Source organism: Homo sapiens, chromosome 8 (assembly GCF_000001405.40).
Source record: "Homo sapiens chromosome 8, GRCh38.p14 Primary Assembly".
In the NCBI taxonomy this organism is placed as follows: Eukaryota; Metazoa; Chordata; class Mammalia; order Primates; family Hominidae; genus Homo; species Homo sapiens.
In genome coordinates, this window is record NC_000008.11 from 125,937,662 (window position 1) to 125,952,710 (window position 15,049).

Consider the following 15,049-nt stretch of genomic DNA (forward strand, 5'->3'; position numbering starts at 1 on the left):
TGTATGGTCTTTGGGAAGTTGTTCAGCTGCCCTGAGCCTTAATTTCTGTATCTATGAAACAGAGATGATAATAGTATTTGCCTCTGAAAATTGCTGTGAGTATTAAATGAGATGATATGTATAAAGGGCTGTGCAGAGTGCCTGGCTTACAGCAAGCATTCAATAGATTTTAAGCTCCATTAATAGTAACATAAATATTTTATTTCATCTCAATACTATTTGTGGAGAGTAGATTAGATACCTAGAGATACATAGTCAAGATTAGTACTATTTTTCTATCCAATTTTTGCTTCTGAGTAGAGAATACAAGACAGAAACAATCAGAAATAATAAATACATAGAGATAAATACTACAATTACAAGGCAAAGTCTTCCCAGAAGAAGTAATTAATTGCAAAACGAAGTGACATGAGTTTTCCTCCTGTCTCTTTAAGCTCCCACAAGAGGCTATAAAATGCCTCAAAATACTCCAACATATGTGTTTCAGAAAAAAAGAGAAGAAAAAACCTCTGGACAATGCAGTCTATGTAAAGTCTCTTGGGCAATTCCTGGCACCCAAAAGGTGTTCAACATAGTTTGAATTGCCTCTTTATGTAAATGTTTCTATGCCTTCTCCACAAATACCCAATGTCCCCAAAGTAGGTTTGTCAACCTCAAGGTCTGAGTAATGCCAAAAAAGAAAAAAAAACGAAACACCTGTCCTTCGTAGGGGAAAGTTATGGCATTCATTTGCACACAATTTGGATTAATAATAAAGCATCTAGAAATATGTGCTTTTAAGGGCTGGTTTTAAAATATAATATGGTTAAGCCTCTGAAAGCTGTTGGGTTTTTTTTGAAAGACGATTGTGGCCTGAATGATAATGAGTGTCACTGACAACTAAATAAGTTAGAGAACTCTTGGAAGCAAGACTTATGATAAGAAAAAATCACAATTAGTTCTACAGTGCAGAGATGATATTCTGTAAGCTGTTCAGTTGCTAATTCATGGTGAGTTCCCTGAGGCCTGGGGATGCACAGCAACCTGTATCCGGCACTGGAGGCAGCCCGTGAAGTGTGGGGTAGAACCCTGTTCAGGTGCTCAGGTTCCCATAAAAAGACAACACATACACTCACAAGTCAACCAAATTGCATAGTCCAAGGTCAATAAAAATTCTCTAATGAGGAATTACAATGCAGAATGCGATTCAGGCCAGATAAGAGGCATAAGCAGGAACTTCTTTGAGTTATGGGGACAAGAAGGCATTGAGGAATGCAAGGACCAGGGAAGGTTTTATGGAAGAGGTGAGATCTTGAGCTGAAACTCAGTGGATGCTCAGCAGCAGGAGATGGCATGAAAGAGTTGAGTTGCCAGGACCATGAGAAGGCGTTGCTGCTATATAAGGGGAGCAGACAAAATGTTCTGCACTTAGGAAACCTACTGGGGCATCTCTTAGAATTATCATGCTATGGCTTGATAGAATGTGGTAACTAGGGGCCGAGACTCCTCAGGGATGGTGGTTTTAGTAGCCCCTCCAGGAAGGTCACCCACACTGACAGAGGCACTAGCCAAAGCTTCATGAGGAATCTAAAACAGTGTCAGAGAAGAGGGATGATGACCATCACTTACGGCCTCAGGTCTAAATGCTACAACAGATGACTTTTTTCCACTAACTTTTCTGTTTATAAATTTTCTCCTAGAAATTGTGACTAACCTGAAAATGTAAGAAGCTGTGACAGATGAGACAAACTTAATGTGTCCCACCCAGAGTATTTCAGGGCAATGTTTCCAATGCCTGATTGTCTATTGGGAATAGAATAACCCAGCTCCTTTAAGTCAGGACCACCCCTAGGGTATATTTTATACTTCAGAGCCTTCTGCAGACCAGGCTGCAGTTGGAGCTTCCTGAGAAATCACACATCTGCTTGGCTTCTTCCCTTCCGTCTCCTGCTTCCTGTCTGCCTTCTTATAAGAGAACATCCTTAGTACATCATTTATACTGGGATCCCTGCAGCAGGATCTGCTTCTGGACCTACAAGAAACATGCATTGGATATGGATTGAATGAAAGCTTAAAGGACAGAATCTGCATGTTTAATTCGCTTGAGGTAACTGTTCTCATTTAGGTAGAAAAGGAGTGAATGAACATTCTGAGAACGAGTTTGGAAACCCAGTTATTGGATGGTGTGTTTCAGAAATTTAATGAAGCTAAATAAATTCATAATTCTTTTTTGCCTGCCTATCAGCTGAGACAGCTTATTACACATGCAACAGCTTAGATTCAGCTGAAATATAATAGAGTCTATGTTCTTTGTACTACAAGAATCCATGATTTTCTACCTAGGAGCTCCCTCTGCCATGATAATATGTTTGCTCTGATGTTAGGTGGGCTGAAACGCAGGGAATTAATATCCTCAGGGCAGCTGTCAACTAATAGTTAATGGAAATTGTTATATTAAATATTTCATATTTCTTACTGCTCAGGTGAGTCATCTCTGAGGCTGTTCTGCTCCATCTCCTGGAGACTGAGACCTTGTTTCCTACAATGACATTCCCCTTTAGCTTCTTTTTCTTGCCTCTCTCTTTCTCCAGCCCCCTACTGATGTTTCTTGGGATCCCATTCCAAATCTATTTGCAATAATCCTGTGTCAGGGTCTTCTTCTGGGGGAACCCAAATTAAACCATGAATTTTCCACCTCAGACCTTTCCTAGTCCCCTGAGTGCCCTCTACTGAGATGCAGTGTCTATAAGAGGCAATTTACCTACAACACTACTCTGCAGTTTTGGAGTATGCTTCTTCTGAAGTTATTCTACACTTTGTAACTCATATTTATGAATATGGTTAGTAAGGATACATACTTTTTTTAAAAATTGTGACAATGATCTTAACAATATTGACTGATATTGCAGACGATACATTTGAGATTAAAAAAACCAAGACTCATATTAAGGAAATCATAACCCTCCCAGAAGTGGTGTACAGCTGTTCTGCAAGTCACCAAGTCAGGCAGTATCTATCAAGCCTTGGGCATGCATAGAGTACTGTGTGGGAGCCAATATAGTTGTGAGTGTGGATGTGACTTTGAGGAATACATCCCATTAGTCATGAAAGCCAAGAGGATGTTCACATTGGTTAATTAAAAAGGAATGAAACTGATTTCAGTATGGGGTTTGCTCAGAAGGTATCCCAAGAATTAGCTTTTAAGGAGGAATTCTCTCCTGGGTTTGAGTTAAAAAAGTCAATCCTAAAATAAGTGAATATCCAGACCCCCAGAGTGGCTAGTTACCATGTTCTAACATTCATTAGGTTTCATGAGATGTAACACAATTGATTAACATAAATCATTCTATTTCATATTCTACCTCTTAGAGTCTTCAGTTTTTGCTAGTTGCTTTATATGAGTTTGTCTTGTTTCTACAGGATTTGAGATGTGTTCTGTAAATCCAGTGTATTGCACAATTTTAAACACAAATGGTGAATTCACCCACTTTTTAATTTCACAAGAGTTTATTAAGTACTTATAGTGCTCCAGGCACTGCCTTCTGAGAACAGATGCCCACTCACTACTGCAACCCTATGTCTCCCCTTGCCATGAGAAAGCATCAGAGAACACATGGTCTTGACCTGCAGGGAGCTCCTGGTCTAGCTGCTGAGACAGAAAAAGAAGGAGGAACTTGCTAAACAGTGTGGTAGGTGTTGTGACTGGAAAGGGTAGGGAATAGAGGAATTTCAGCCAGACTCAGCTTCAAGGTGATGGGGAAGGCTGGGGGCTGAAGTTGGGGCCTGGGATAAATCCAGAAGAGGTATCCTCTAAATTCTTATATACATACATTGGGACTTAGCCAGTTGGAGGGAGGACATTGGAGGTGGAAGGAAAGGCACAAGCAAATTCCTAGACATGGAGAATTGCAGGGGGTGAAGGAAAGGCACAAGCAAAGTCCTAGACATAGAGAATTGCAGGGGGTGTAGGAAAGCAGCTGGAGCTTCTGCACAGCTGGAATGTAGAGTTGGCTAAGGGCTGGCAAAAAAAGGGGGTGACTTGGAACATGAAGGGTTTGAATGTTGTGCTATGTAGCATAGGCTTTCCTTGAAGGGCAATAGGGAGAGACAGAAAAATTTTGAACAGGTTGGTAACAAAATCAGATTTTCACTTTTGTTCATTCTGGCTTCTCTGTGGAAACTAAATTGTGAGAAAAAAGAGTGGAACGAAGGCAGCCATTTTGGAAGGTAGTACAGTAGCCTTGGAGGGATGAGGTGACACACTGATTGAGTCAGCATCAGTGCAAATAGAGAGGTGTAGAAATGGGTATTCACAGGGCAAGAAAGGCTATGTGTAAGAAGGTGGGGTGGGGTTGGGACAGGCAGGCATGGGAAGGAAGTGCATCACATGCAAGTAAGTGAGCTAGGCTGCAAGGAGGTATGCCTCAGCCTCTTAGCTTTACTTGGGGTGGGGGGTGGGGGTGGGAATGACCGCAGCCCCCTTCCTGTTTCTGGTTTTTCTGTTTGATGTTATCTCTGTGTGAAACTATTCTAGAAGATCTTTGGTCAAGTGTGACAAGACCTACCACAAACTGTCCCCTTTCATCTGCTGACAAAACCTGCTGACAAAGCAAAAAAATCTACATCCTGTTCTTTGTCTCATAGCTGATTAGCTGAGATAATCTCTGCTCTCCGAAGCTTACTAAGAAAAACCACAACCACTACTGAGAAAAACATCTCCAAATGTTTTGGAAAGTTAACAAACTGTGACATCTGCAGTTTGCAACTGACCACAGTGTTAAACCACATCATTTGCATTTGTTTACCCCTCCCTATAAAAGCCAAACTGCCTAAGAGGCTGAGCCATTCCCATCATCTTCAGATAAGGGTGGTTTCCCTATTGCAATAGCCCAAATAAAAGCAATCTTTTAACTTGTCTGTTTCTTTGACAGGATTGCTGCCATGACTCAAAATGGGACCATGCCTTCAGATCTCCATCTGCTCCACCCAGGTAATAAGGACACTTGGAGCCTTCATGCTCCATTTGTGACTGGCAATACAGGGACCTAAAGGTGAGCCCTATTCCTAATTCAATGTTCCAGACTCTTGTCTGTTGGTAGCATGGTAGGAATTTAATTTTCATTGAGTATGCAGTTGATCTCTAGTGCTGGATTTGTGTGTGTGTGTGTGTGTGTATGTGGTCACTTGGTAATCTCTGTAAATGAATTAAATGGTTTGCAGATATTGTGTCTCTGTTACGTCAGAAAGATGCCAGAAAATTGGGTTTGTTATTTTTGTTCGTCTATTTTTTTCTCTATTTTGAACTCAATCAAGAATTTCTACCCAGTGGAACGAAAAGAGCCCTTTTTATAGGAACAAGTGAGTTATGTATTTCTGTGTTATGCCTGGTCTATGGCTGAGATTTTAGAATTAAAATGATAAGTTCTCTAGATCTGTATGTATATTTATGTGTCTGTGGGTATGTAATATTTTCCTGCCTCCAGATGGTATTACTAAATTAGATTATCAAAATTTTTAAAGGTACTATTTTCTGATTGACTTAGAACTAACTAAAGTCTTATATAAATAAAATATTCAAAAATTTCTGGAAATTAAGATAATTGCATTTCTACTTTTAATATGCTTATAGATACTAGCTTGAATATTCTAAGAATTTAAGTTACATAATTTAGGTAAATTTTGGCAAATGAGACTAGCTTTATTTTGTTGGTTTAATTAAAACAGTTATGTCTTCTGAGTTCTCAGTATTAGGTATTACACAAGCATACATTTTAATCTACTTATGCACATTCTTCCTCAGCTTATACAGCTTTCTTGGTTTAATAATCTATCATTTTAGTTACTATATGTTTATAATTATAAAAATATAAATTTGCATTTAGTTAAATTGAATCACTGTTTTGACAAATGTTAATTCAAAAGTAACTAATTACATTTTATAGTGTGTCATCCTGGCTCAAGACCAAGATCTTTTGATAACATAAAACTTTAGACTGATGCTAAATTTGGTTAATTAATGGGCATTCATTAGATACCTAGATTATCTAACTATAATAAAATACTGAAGCATTAATTACTAAGTATAATTTTCTGCTTGTAGACTTTTTGCTGCTTATTTTTTATATAATACGGAGAGCCTATATATTTGGGTGTGTTAATGAGCATGTTTATTTTTTGCTACAGTGAGTTTTATTATAGGGATGTTTATTACTGCAAAAATAATGAGATGTATATTCATAAGATCTATTAGTCTGCTACGAAATAGTGTGTATGAAAATAGTTCACAATTATCCACTGAAAAAGACTCTTCCCTTGACCAAACTTGAGTTAGGCTCCTTGGAGCATTCTTCCTAAGTAGACTTTGACCTTGGCCTGCCCAGCCGAGTTTTAGTAAAGATTCCTGCTTAGCGAATTTATCAAGAATTTACTAATTCTTGATATTAGACTACTGGATATTTGATCAAGTTTCTCACTCTCCACTCTGGATATCTTAGTTTTAGAAAGTAGTTTTATTATTAATAGTTTTATTAATTAACAGTTTTATTATTTAAAATAATTTTATTAAGCCAGTTTAGCAAGAATCCCTCTACCTTTGATATCTAGGTAAGTTCTTAGTAAATTTCCATCTGCTTACCACCTTGCTCTACTCCTTGGCTATAAATCCACAACTGTCTTTGCTGTATTAGAAGTTGAGCTCAGTTCCATACAGAAACCTCTCTCTCCTACTGCAGCAGTTTGAATAAGATCTATCTGGCTGTTTTAATACATATCCAGTAACTTTTCTTTTATACTACCTCCAAAGTTTCTCTATGCAATAGGAGTTACCGTAGTTAAAAATAATCAAGGCCGGGCACGGTGGCTAACACCTGTAATCCCAGCACTTTGGGAGGCCGAGGCGGGCGGATCATGAGGTCAGGAGTTTGAGACCAGCCTGACCAAAATGGTGAAACCCCGCCTCTACTAAAAATAAAAAAAGTAACTGGGCATGGTGGCGCACGCCTGTAATCCCAACTACTCAGGAGACTGAGGCAGGAGAACTGCTTGAACCCGGGAGGCGGAGGTTGCAGTGAGCCAAAATTACACCACTGCACTCAGCCTGGGTGATAGAGCGAGACTGTCTCAAAAAAAAAAAAAAGTTATAATCAATATATGTCAATAAGATGAATGAGACTCTAGTAGAAGTGACTGTGGCAGAAAGGAACATTTTGAGTGCAAGGTATGCAGGATATTTTTTTGTTAAGGAAAACAAGAGTAATTTTTTTCTGAAGTAAAATGAGTAGTTATTCCAGGATGAGAAAGGGGAAAGTGTAGGGCAAAACCCTACAAAACCCTAACTAGATAGAGAAAGCTGTAGAAGGTTCATGGATAGGAAATTTTATTTCTTGTAGTCACAGCTGGCTGAAGTTTAATGGGTTTGTTTACAAAATGTTTAATATAAGCATTAGTATCAAATATGCAGATGCAAAACTAGAATTTGTTTTATTCTCTATTAAAATAATTTTTTTGGATTAGTGTATTCTCTTAGTAAGAGCTTGTAAAATATTTTTCTTTACCTTCTGAGTAATCTTCTTAGAAGATAAACATTCAGAATCTCATCAGAATAATTTTCCATGCTTTGTGCTGACTTTTTCGAGTCCTTGATTATTTAAGAGAACAGTCTTCATATAAAAGAGATGAAGTTCTTTGCAATTATGTTACCTCCTATATCTACTCTAAAATTATTTTACATCATTTGATTAAATAGATAACCAAGTACTATTTCTCAGTAATCCATTATCCTACTTAATTAAGTATTCGAATTTCCTGACAATGTTTTATATTTTACCTTCTGAAAATCAAATCCTAAATGGTATCTTTTGCACTGTCAATGAAAAAAAAATGTACAAATCTGAAGTTAAGTGAGGAAATCATTACTAAGGGAGAATCTTATAATAGAAAGATGCTCAAGATCTAAGCCAGGAAAGTCTCAGGCATGGGGTGAGCAAACATAGCTTTTATATGCAGAGACCTGGGAAGAGATGCTTATGGAAAATGGAAGGGGATTTGATGCTAAGAGCTGGTATGTGTGTGTGTGGTGGGGGTGGGGGCAGGGTGAGGGACTGTGGGGTGGTGAGGGATGATGCTGAAACTTACTGGGCTACATCAAAATTGGTAGCAGAGAAGTTAAGGCAGGAAGATTGGTCTATGGTTAGGCACATGGGGTGGGATTCTGGGTCTAAGACAGAGCAAACAAATTAGAATGCTGGAGGAGGTTCATATAGATTGAGAACCTAGTAGTTTAGGCAAACCAACCTAAAGTTGTGTCAAGGACAGTTTAATCGCCCTATCGGTCCTCCACTCTTGTTCAAGAAAGGCTCAGAAAAGGTGTCCTTGAACAGAGAGACAAGGAGCATCTCAAGTAGGAGATGGCCGAGTAAAGTAGTCCCAGGTCAGGATTGCTCAGTGTTGTTCCTGGAGGACTAGTTAAACCATGTGTTTTACATGCTGGCAAAGGTCAGTTGTTTTACTGTCCTTCAGATCAGGCATCTTAGAAGTGGGATACCTAAAAGGAAAAAAGAGAAATGTTAATATAGAAAGAGAGATTAAACTGAGAAAGACAGAAGTTGAACCCAAGGGTATCCATTTCAGGGGATTTCAGGGGGTTAGTGGATGAGCCCTTTTGATCATGTAGCATTGCTCTTTGAGCGTTTTGATGCTCTTGGTAATGTTGCCCAGAGCCTGGATTACCTCTTCTATCAGAACATGCGTGACCTGAGCATTTCCCATCCTTTTTTTGTGGTCCAGTCAGGGCTTGTCCAGAGAAAAAGAGAACCATGCATAGTCTGCTAGCAATGATGGGTCTTTATATGTTTATAACAAGTCATCAGACTTGAGATTGTAGTAATACTTCAGAGACTGGGGGCCAGCCACAAGGCAACCTAGGGTCTTAACTGTCATCTGGATAGTAAAGTTTTCTCAGTGACTATGAGTAACAAAAAAGGAGAAAAATTGGAACGTTAGTTGAGGGGTTTATGGCTAGATATTGAGGGAAATTGGAAGATTTGAAAATTTAGTAAAAGTGGACAATTTGTGCAAGATAACAGATTCAAGTACAATTTATTAGTAGTTACAAAAACTGATTGTCCCATAGTGTGAGAGAAAGTCAATTAAATCTCTACTAGAGAAGAGAGAGTTTGCATAACTATCAGTTACTCTCAGTTTACCAAGAGGCACTAAATAGCTCAAACACAAATTAACAGGATCAGAATCTGATAATCCAGAAAGATGTGCTATGATTTCCCATGGAAACACAAATTTTCTTTCTACAGTTACTCCTCCTCTTTTGATCAAAGACAATCTCAAAGAAAGATTATTCTTGATCACAAATTAAGGTTGGTCTCATGAGATTCGGCCTGGTTATTTGCATAGGTGCTGCAAGAGCAGCAATTTACATATAGATCATATTATATTTGCTTTGCTGGAAGTTTTCATAAAGAATGTCAAATTGGACTTTTCAAAGCCTCTTGAGGATAAGAAGCCAAGCCAACAACTCACATCAGATTTCACATGCAGTACCTATCGATTTGGCAGGCATTCCTTTCTTCTTGAGATCCCACAAATATCCTAAGATTCCAGAGCCTGCTGGGAAGTGACATTCCTTGCTCACCTGCAAAGCTGCAAACCCTGCAAAGCCAGGTTTCAAGCCAGTTTTCGCAAGAGGAGCTTTGTAAGCATTGGCCCTATAAGGTCAACCTTAGTTCCTTAAAAGTGTCTGGTCATATCTGATTAAATAAGCGTCACTCTCAAATATGACATCCAGGCAAAGCCTTGGTTGTATTACCAATGTTTTTGTGCCCTGTTAACAAAGAGGACAGACTCTTACTGAATCTATGCAAATAACCATATTGCCATGAAAATAAGAAGACTCAAGGAGAATTTCCAAATTTTGAATGGGTGAGTCAGGGAAGAAAAGAAAGAAGTTTCATTTCTGTTTACAAGAAATTAGCATGGTCTATGAAATTGTTATGAGTGATGAATAGCTTAAAAAAAAGAGGAGGGGTTTTCTTATGTCCAGAAAATAGGATATTAGGCCGAGCGTGGTGGCTCACATCTGTTATTCCAGCACTTTGGGAGGCCGAGGCGGGTGGATCATGAGGTCAAGAGATCGAGACCATCCTGGCCAACATGGTGAAAACCCGTCACTACTAAAAATACAAAAACAGCCAAGTGTGGTGGCACTACCCTGTAATCCCAGCTACTTGGGAGGCTGAGACAGGAGAATTGTTTGAACCTGGGAGGCAGAGGTTGCAGTGAGCTGAGATCACGCCATTGCACTCCAGCCTGGGCATAAGAGCAAAACTCTGTCTCAAAAAAAAAAAGAAAATAGTACATTAAAGGAATAGCCCTATAGCCCTATTCCAAAAAAGTCCCATAATTATCTATCATCAGTTCATTCACTCCTGTGGAATTAGTTCTTGTCCCACTTGATCCCGGATTAGTAGGCTTATGAACCCATCTCTTTTTCAACTAGAGTTCTGGAATTCCTAACTCAGTTCATTGTTTTGGTCCCAAAGTTACTTAAACAACGTAATTAGAAACTTTAACACAACAGCACCTAGCATAATCCTTTTCCACATACTTCTGAGTCAGTCCTTTTTTGTGGAAACAAAGTCCTCCATAGATAACAAAAGACTTAAAATTGCTGTGGTTAACATATTTTTGATAATTTTTGAAAGTAAAAGATCTGATGAAAGTTTGCTATAAAAATAATACATTGACAGAAAAATTTAATTGTCGTTATGGCACTTAAAGTTGCTACAAAAAGTTTCAGAGAAAATATGTGTAAACATAATAATTAATTTTATTTTCAAAAAAGGGTGGATATTACATCAAATTTATGAAAGTGGATGGGCATAGTTTTTATAGAGAAAACATTTTCAGATATAACATGATTATCTGGGCGCAGTGGCTCATGCCTGTAATCCCAGCAGTTTGGGAGGCTGAGGCAGGCGGATCACAAGCATAAGGTCAGGAGTTGGAGACCAGCCTGGCCAACATGGTAAAACCCCGTCTCTACTAAAAATACAAAAATTAGCCAGGTGTGATGGCAGTCACCTGTAGTCCCAGCTACTCGGGAGGCTGAGGCAGGAGAATCTCTTGAACCTGGGAGGCGGAGGTTGTAGTGAGCCGAGATCGTGCCACTGCACTCCAGCCTGGGCAACAGAGTGAGACTCCATCTCAAAAAAAAAAAAAAAAAAAAAAAAAAAAAGAAATAACATGATAATCATGAGACATAATGTGTCATGAATATATCAAACATATAGTTAGAATATACCAAGAATATATTTAGATTATCAAGCAAAGAGATTCAGTATATTTGTATAGGTTTAGGAAAAAAATACTCAAGTAGAACAAAAATGTATTCTTACCATGTGGACAACTCAGAAGACATAGCTATATTTATTAAATCAATTATATTAAACTACTCTCAATGGCCAAAGGTTTATCTAAATTAGGTGAACTTGAATTTTTAAACACTTTGTTAAGCTTTTATAAAAATACTTTTTTCACATTGATGATATTAGAAATTTGATTTTCCTAATTTCAAGGAAGTTCAAGAATACTTAACTTATGTAGGCTCTCATTCATCTCTAAGACAATCCAGAAGGAGCTTATTTAAGGCGTTTTATAATTTAATGTGGTAATACCATCTGGAGGTAGGAAAATATTACACAAACAAAATGTATGTGCACATGCACAAACACACATACATAAACATATAGGCAGACATAGCCAACTTACAGCTTTAATTTTTAAATTTTAGCCATGACTTAGGCATAATCACAGAAATGCAAAACTCACTGATTCATATAAAAAAACAGAGTATTGACTGGGCACGGTGGCTCATGCCTGTAATCTCAGCACTTTGGGAGGCCAAGGCGGTCAGATCATTAAGTCAGAAGATCGAGACCATCCTGGCCAACATGGTGAAACACAGTGTCTACTAAAAATACAAAAATTAGCTGAGCATGGTGGCATGTGCTTGTAATCCCAGCTACTTTGGAGGCTGCGGCAGGAGAATCGCTTGAACCTGGGAGGTAGAGATTGCAGTGAGTCGAGATTGCACCACTGTACACCAGCCTGGCAACAGAGTGAGATTCCATCTCAAAAAACAAACAAATAAACAAACAAACAAAGTATCATCATTGCCTCACGTTTATATTTTTACAAGGATAATATTTTTGGTAGATGGGGCAAGTTGAAGTAACCTGTTCAGTATGAGAACTGAAGCATCTTCACCAATATTTGTGTAGGAGACCCATAAGCTACCCTTGGCTCTGGTGTATAATTCTAGGGAAGCTGTGGACTCAATTTCAAGGGAGGCATGGAGGAGAGACCAAGCGGTCATCTGGTGTCTCCAGAGCCCACCTGAGGGGATAAAACATTCAGCCTGTTTCCGGTGAGCCTTTTTAGCCTCAGGCTGTTGCTCTTAGTGCCCCTGGGCTTCTCTAGAGCCTCCCATGAAGGGACAGGACTTAAAGCTCAAGGGATTATAAGGAATTGAGGGGCCAGAGTGGGAGAGGAAAGGTCTGGCAGGAGTGGATGGAAAGGTGGAGGAGATAGAGGGTTGAAAGAGGAAGATCCAAGGATTAAAGGGAGCTGAAGGGAACATGGAAGATGGTAGAAAAGAGAGATTGGGGGATAGGTGATGAGAAGACACAGGTCACAGATTGGGGAAGGATGACTGTCTTTGAAAGAAGCAATGGTCACTGAAAAGTTTTTGAGAGAGAGCATTTTTTTTTTCTGCCTCTTTGTACCAAATGCCCACCACCACTAACAAAGCATCTATTGCTTGGATGAGATCTTGGTGGCACAGGATTCAATTGCCCTTCGCAGAATGAGGCAATTTGGAAAAATTCTACGTTCTCCAAAGAGGCCATTGAAATTTAAGTTGTAAAATATTGCCATTTTTTTTTTTGGAAGAAAGTGGGTGGAATTATTACCATAGTAACACAGAGCATACCCCAGAGTTGAGGGTTCTGGAGAACAACAGCCAAATTGACGGTTTCTCATGATAATGGAAGGGACACCTGCTGGTGCTAGAGGCTTTGGGATTTCAACTCAGGTATGATTCTCAGGAGAGAATGAGGGGCTTTCACCACACTCAAAAAAGGCAGAAGGGAAAGATGGAAAAACAGAAGAAAATGACAAAAATGAGAGAAATATAAGTCAACTTCTCACTGTGCTACAACAGACAGACGTCTGGAGCACTGGATTAGAAATCATGACTTACCACTGTGTATTCTGATTTCCCCAGCCAAGGAGAGGCACAAGGAGTCCAATAAGGCAGCACTGGGTGAAGAAAGCAGGACCCAGAGGCAATGGGCATTTTGTCCAAGTCATGGCATCATTATTGTCAAAGAAAAGAAGTTTAATCTAGACATTAGTCTAGAAAAACTTTCTTAAGAAGGGGAGTATTGCAATAGGAGTGGGGCAACAGCATAACAGAAAGATGCTCAAATCCTAAGTCAGAGAAGGGATGAGTGAGCAAAGCTTTTAAGATACCTGTGGAAAGTTGAGGGGAAATCAACAAAACCCTGCGAAAATCTGGGGGTGGGAGGGAATTCTTAAAACTTAACAAACGTCCTCAAACGTTATATGAATAGGAGAATTGAGACAGGAAATGTTGGTTTGTGGTCAGGCACATGGGGCTGGGTCTGCACCCAAAATGGAGCAAACAAGTTAAAGTGAGAAATTCACATAAAGCAGAGGGCCTGTTAGTCCTCTGCCAAACAGCCAAAAGTTGTTTCAGCTAACAGTCAAGCACAGTCTTCTCAGCCTCCTCAGTGCCCAAAATTGCCTTTGAGATTTCCCAGAGGACCTCTGGAAAGTTGCAAAGATGTGTTCTTTCACCGTGGGAAAAGACAAGAATTGGAAACAGTTAGGATTGTTTGATATGTTATCATTGACAAGATGTCTAGGAAGCATTGTCCAATCGGAAGAGATGCTCAGGTTTGCATAGATTAAATTTGTGTGGGTAAAATGTCATTAACATAAACATGTTTAAAACTGTATTCTACATAAGAAGTTTCTGGAGAATTGTGAATGTGTGTGTGTTTTTTTTTTCTTTACACTTTTAAGATTACAGTGTTAAATGTTTATCAAGTTACATTTCTACAGCTAGCAGGATAACACATGTGTTACTGGCACTCAGACCTCATCCTAGGGAATGTTTACTGGGAATTCCCAAATACACCACAAGCCAAATAACTTCCAGCATTTCCCATCTTTGTACTTTCTTCATTTCCATCTTTGCCCAAGTCATCTGGTTTTTCATGGACCACCATTGCATGGCCAATGATGGAGTGGCCTCCTGAGAGTGAGATCATAGAATCTTCAATAGACACATCATTGCATCATCTTTGCCAGCAGTCACATTGCCCAGGTGTTTAACATGCCTCTCTTGATCCTTTGGTCCACCGTGTTTTGGGGATAGAGGATTAAAGTGAGGACCTGCACTGGTACAGCCTTGTATATTATTTGCACACTGATGAACATGGCATCTGCTGGCCTTCAGGCAATCCTGTAATGTGTCCCAACACCACAACTGGTCCATTTTCCTTCTGCTTGAAATGGATAATTCTCGGTACCAGCCCTTCGCCCTTCAGCATGCACTGATGGGGCCACGCTCCTGTCTGGGTTCTGAGGATTGCCAGGGAAACAGGAGGTGCTATAAGAGATGACAACACAAACGCCAGAATTGTTAATGTTTTCACTGTCCATGATGTATTTCTATTTATCAGAGTCCTGGGGTCGCTTTGCTTGTTGTTAGATAAAAGCAGTATAGTGTTATCAGTCATAATTAATTATATTTTCAAACTTTAACTTGGTTGCAACTTTACTTCTTTTATCTGGAACCAGTATATGCTAGGCTGGTAGTTTTACGTTGAGGATTCACTTCACTTATCTATGCATTTTTATTAATACTCTAATGTTTAGAATCTACTTCAGATGTACTGACTCTATTTACTTGATAACTTTGATATATTTTTAGTAAATTCTAATGAAGTGCTAGGTATTTGTGGCATCT

General features: G+C 39.1%; 1 long non-coding RNA gene and 1 pseudogene across 2 annotated transcripts in view, besides 1 other annotated feature; both read right to left on the minus strand.

The window, feature by feature from the left end:
* Positions 1-13,536, minus strand: part of LINC00861 (long intergenic non-protein coding RNA 861) — a 28,675-nt gene extending 15,139 nt beyond the window's left edge. The window contains exons 1-2 of one of the 2 annotated variants that reach the window (NR_038447.1): positions 13,253-13,536; positions 8,272-8,521 (exon numbers count right to left, since the gene is read on the minus strand). This is a non-coding gene — a long non-coding RNA (long intergenic non-protein coding RNA 861). Of the gene's footprint in view, positions 1-3,467; positions 8,522-13,252 lie in introns of those variants that run through there. The other variant, NR_038446.1, reaches the window with a different exon arrangement.
* Positions 13,662-13,711: a silencer, noted in NCBI's record as "silent region_19520". NCBI's record gives its function as "represses an Ori minimal core promoter by ATAC-STARR-seq in GM12878 lymphoblastoid cells {active_cell/tissue: GM12878}" and the evidence as "EXISTENCE:reporter gene assay evidence [ECO:0000049][PMID:35858748]".
* SOD1P3 (superoxide dismutase 1 pseudogene 3) lies at positions 14,197-14,633 on the minus strand (annotated as a pseudogene).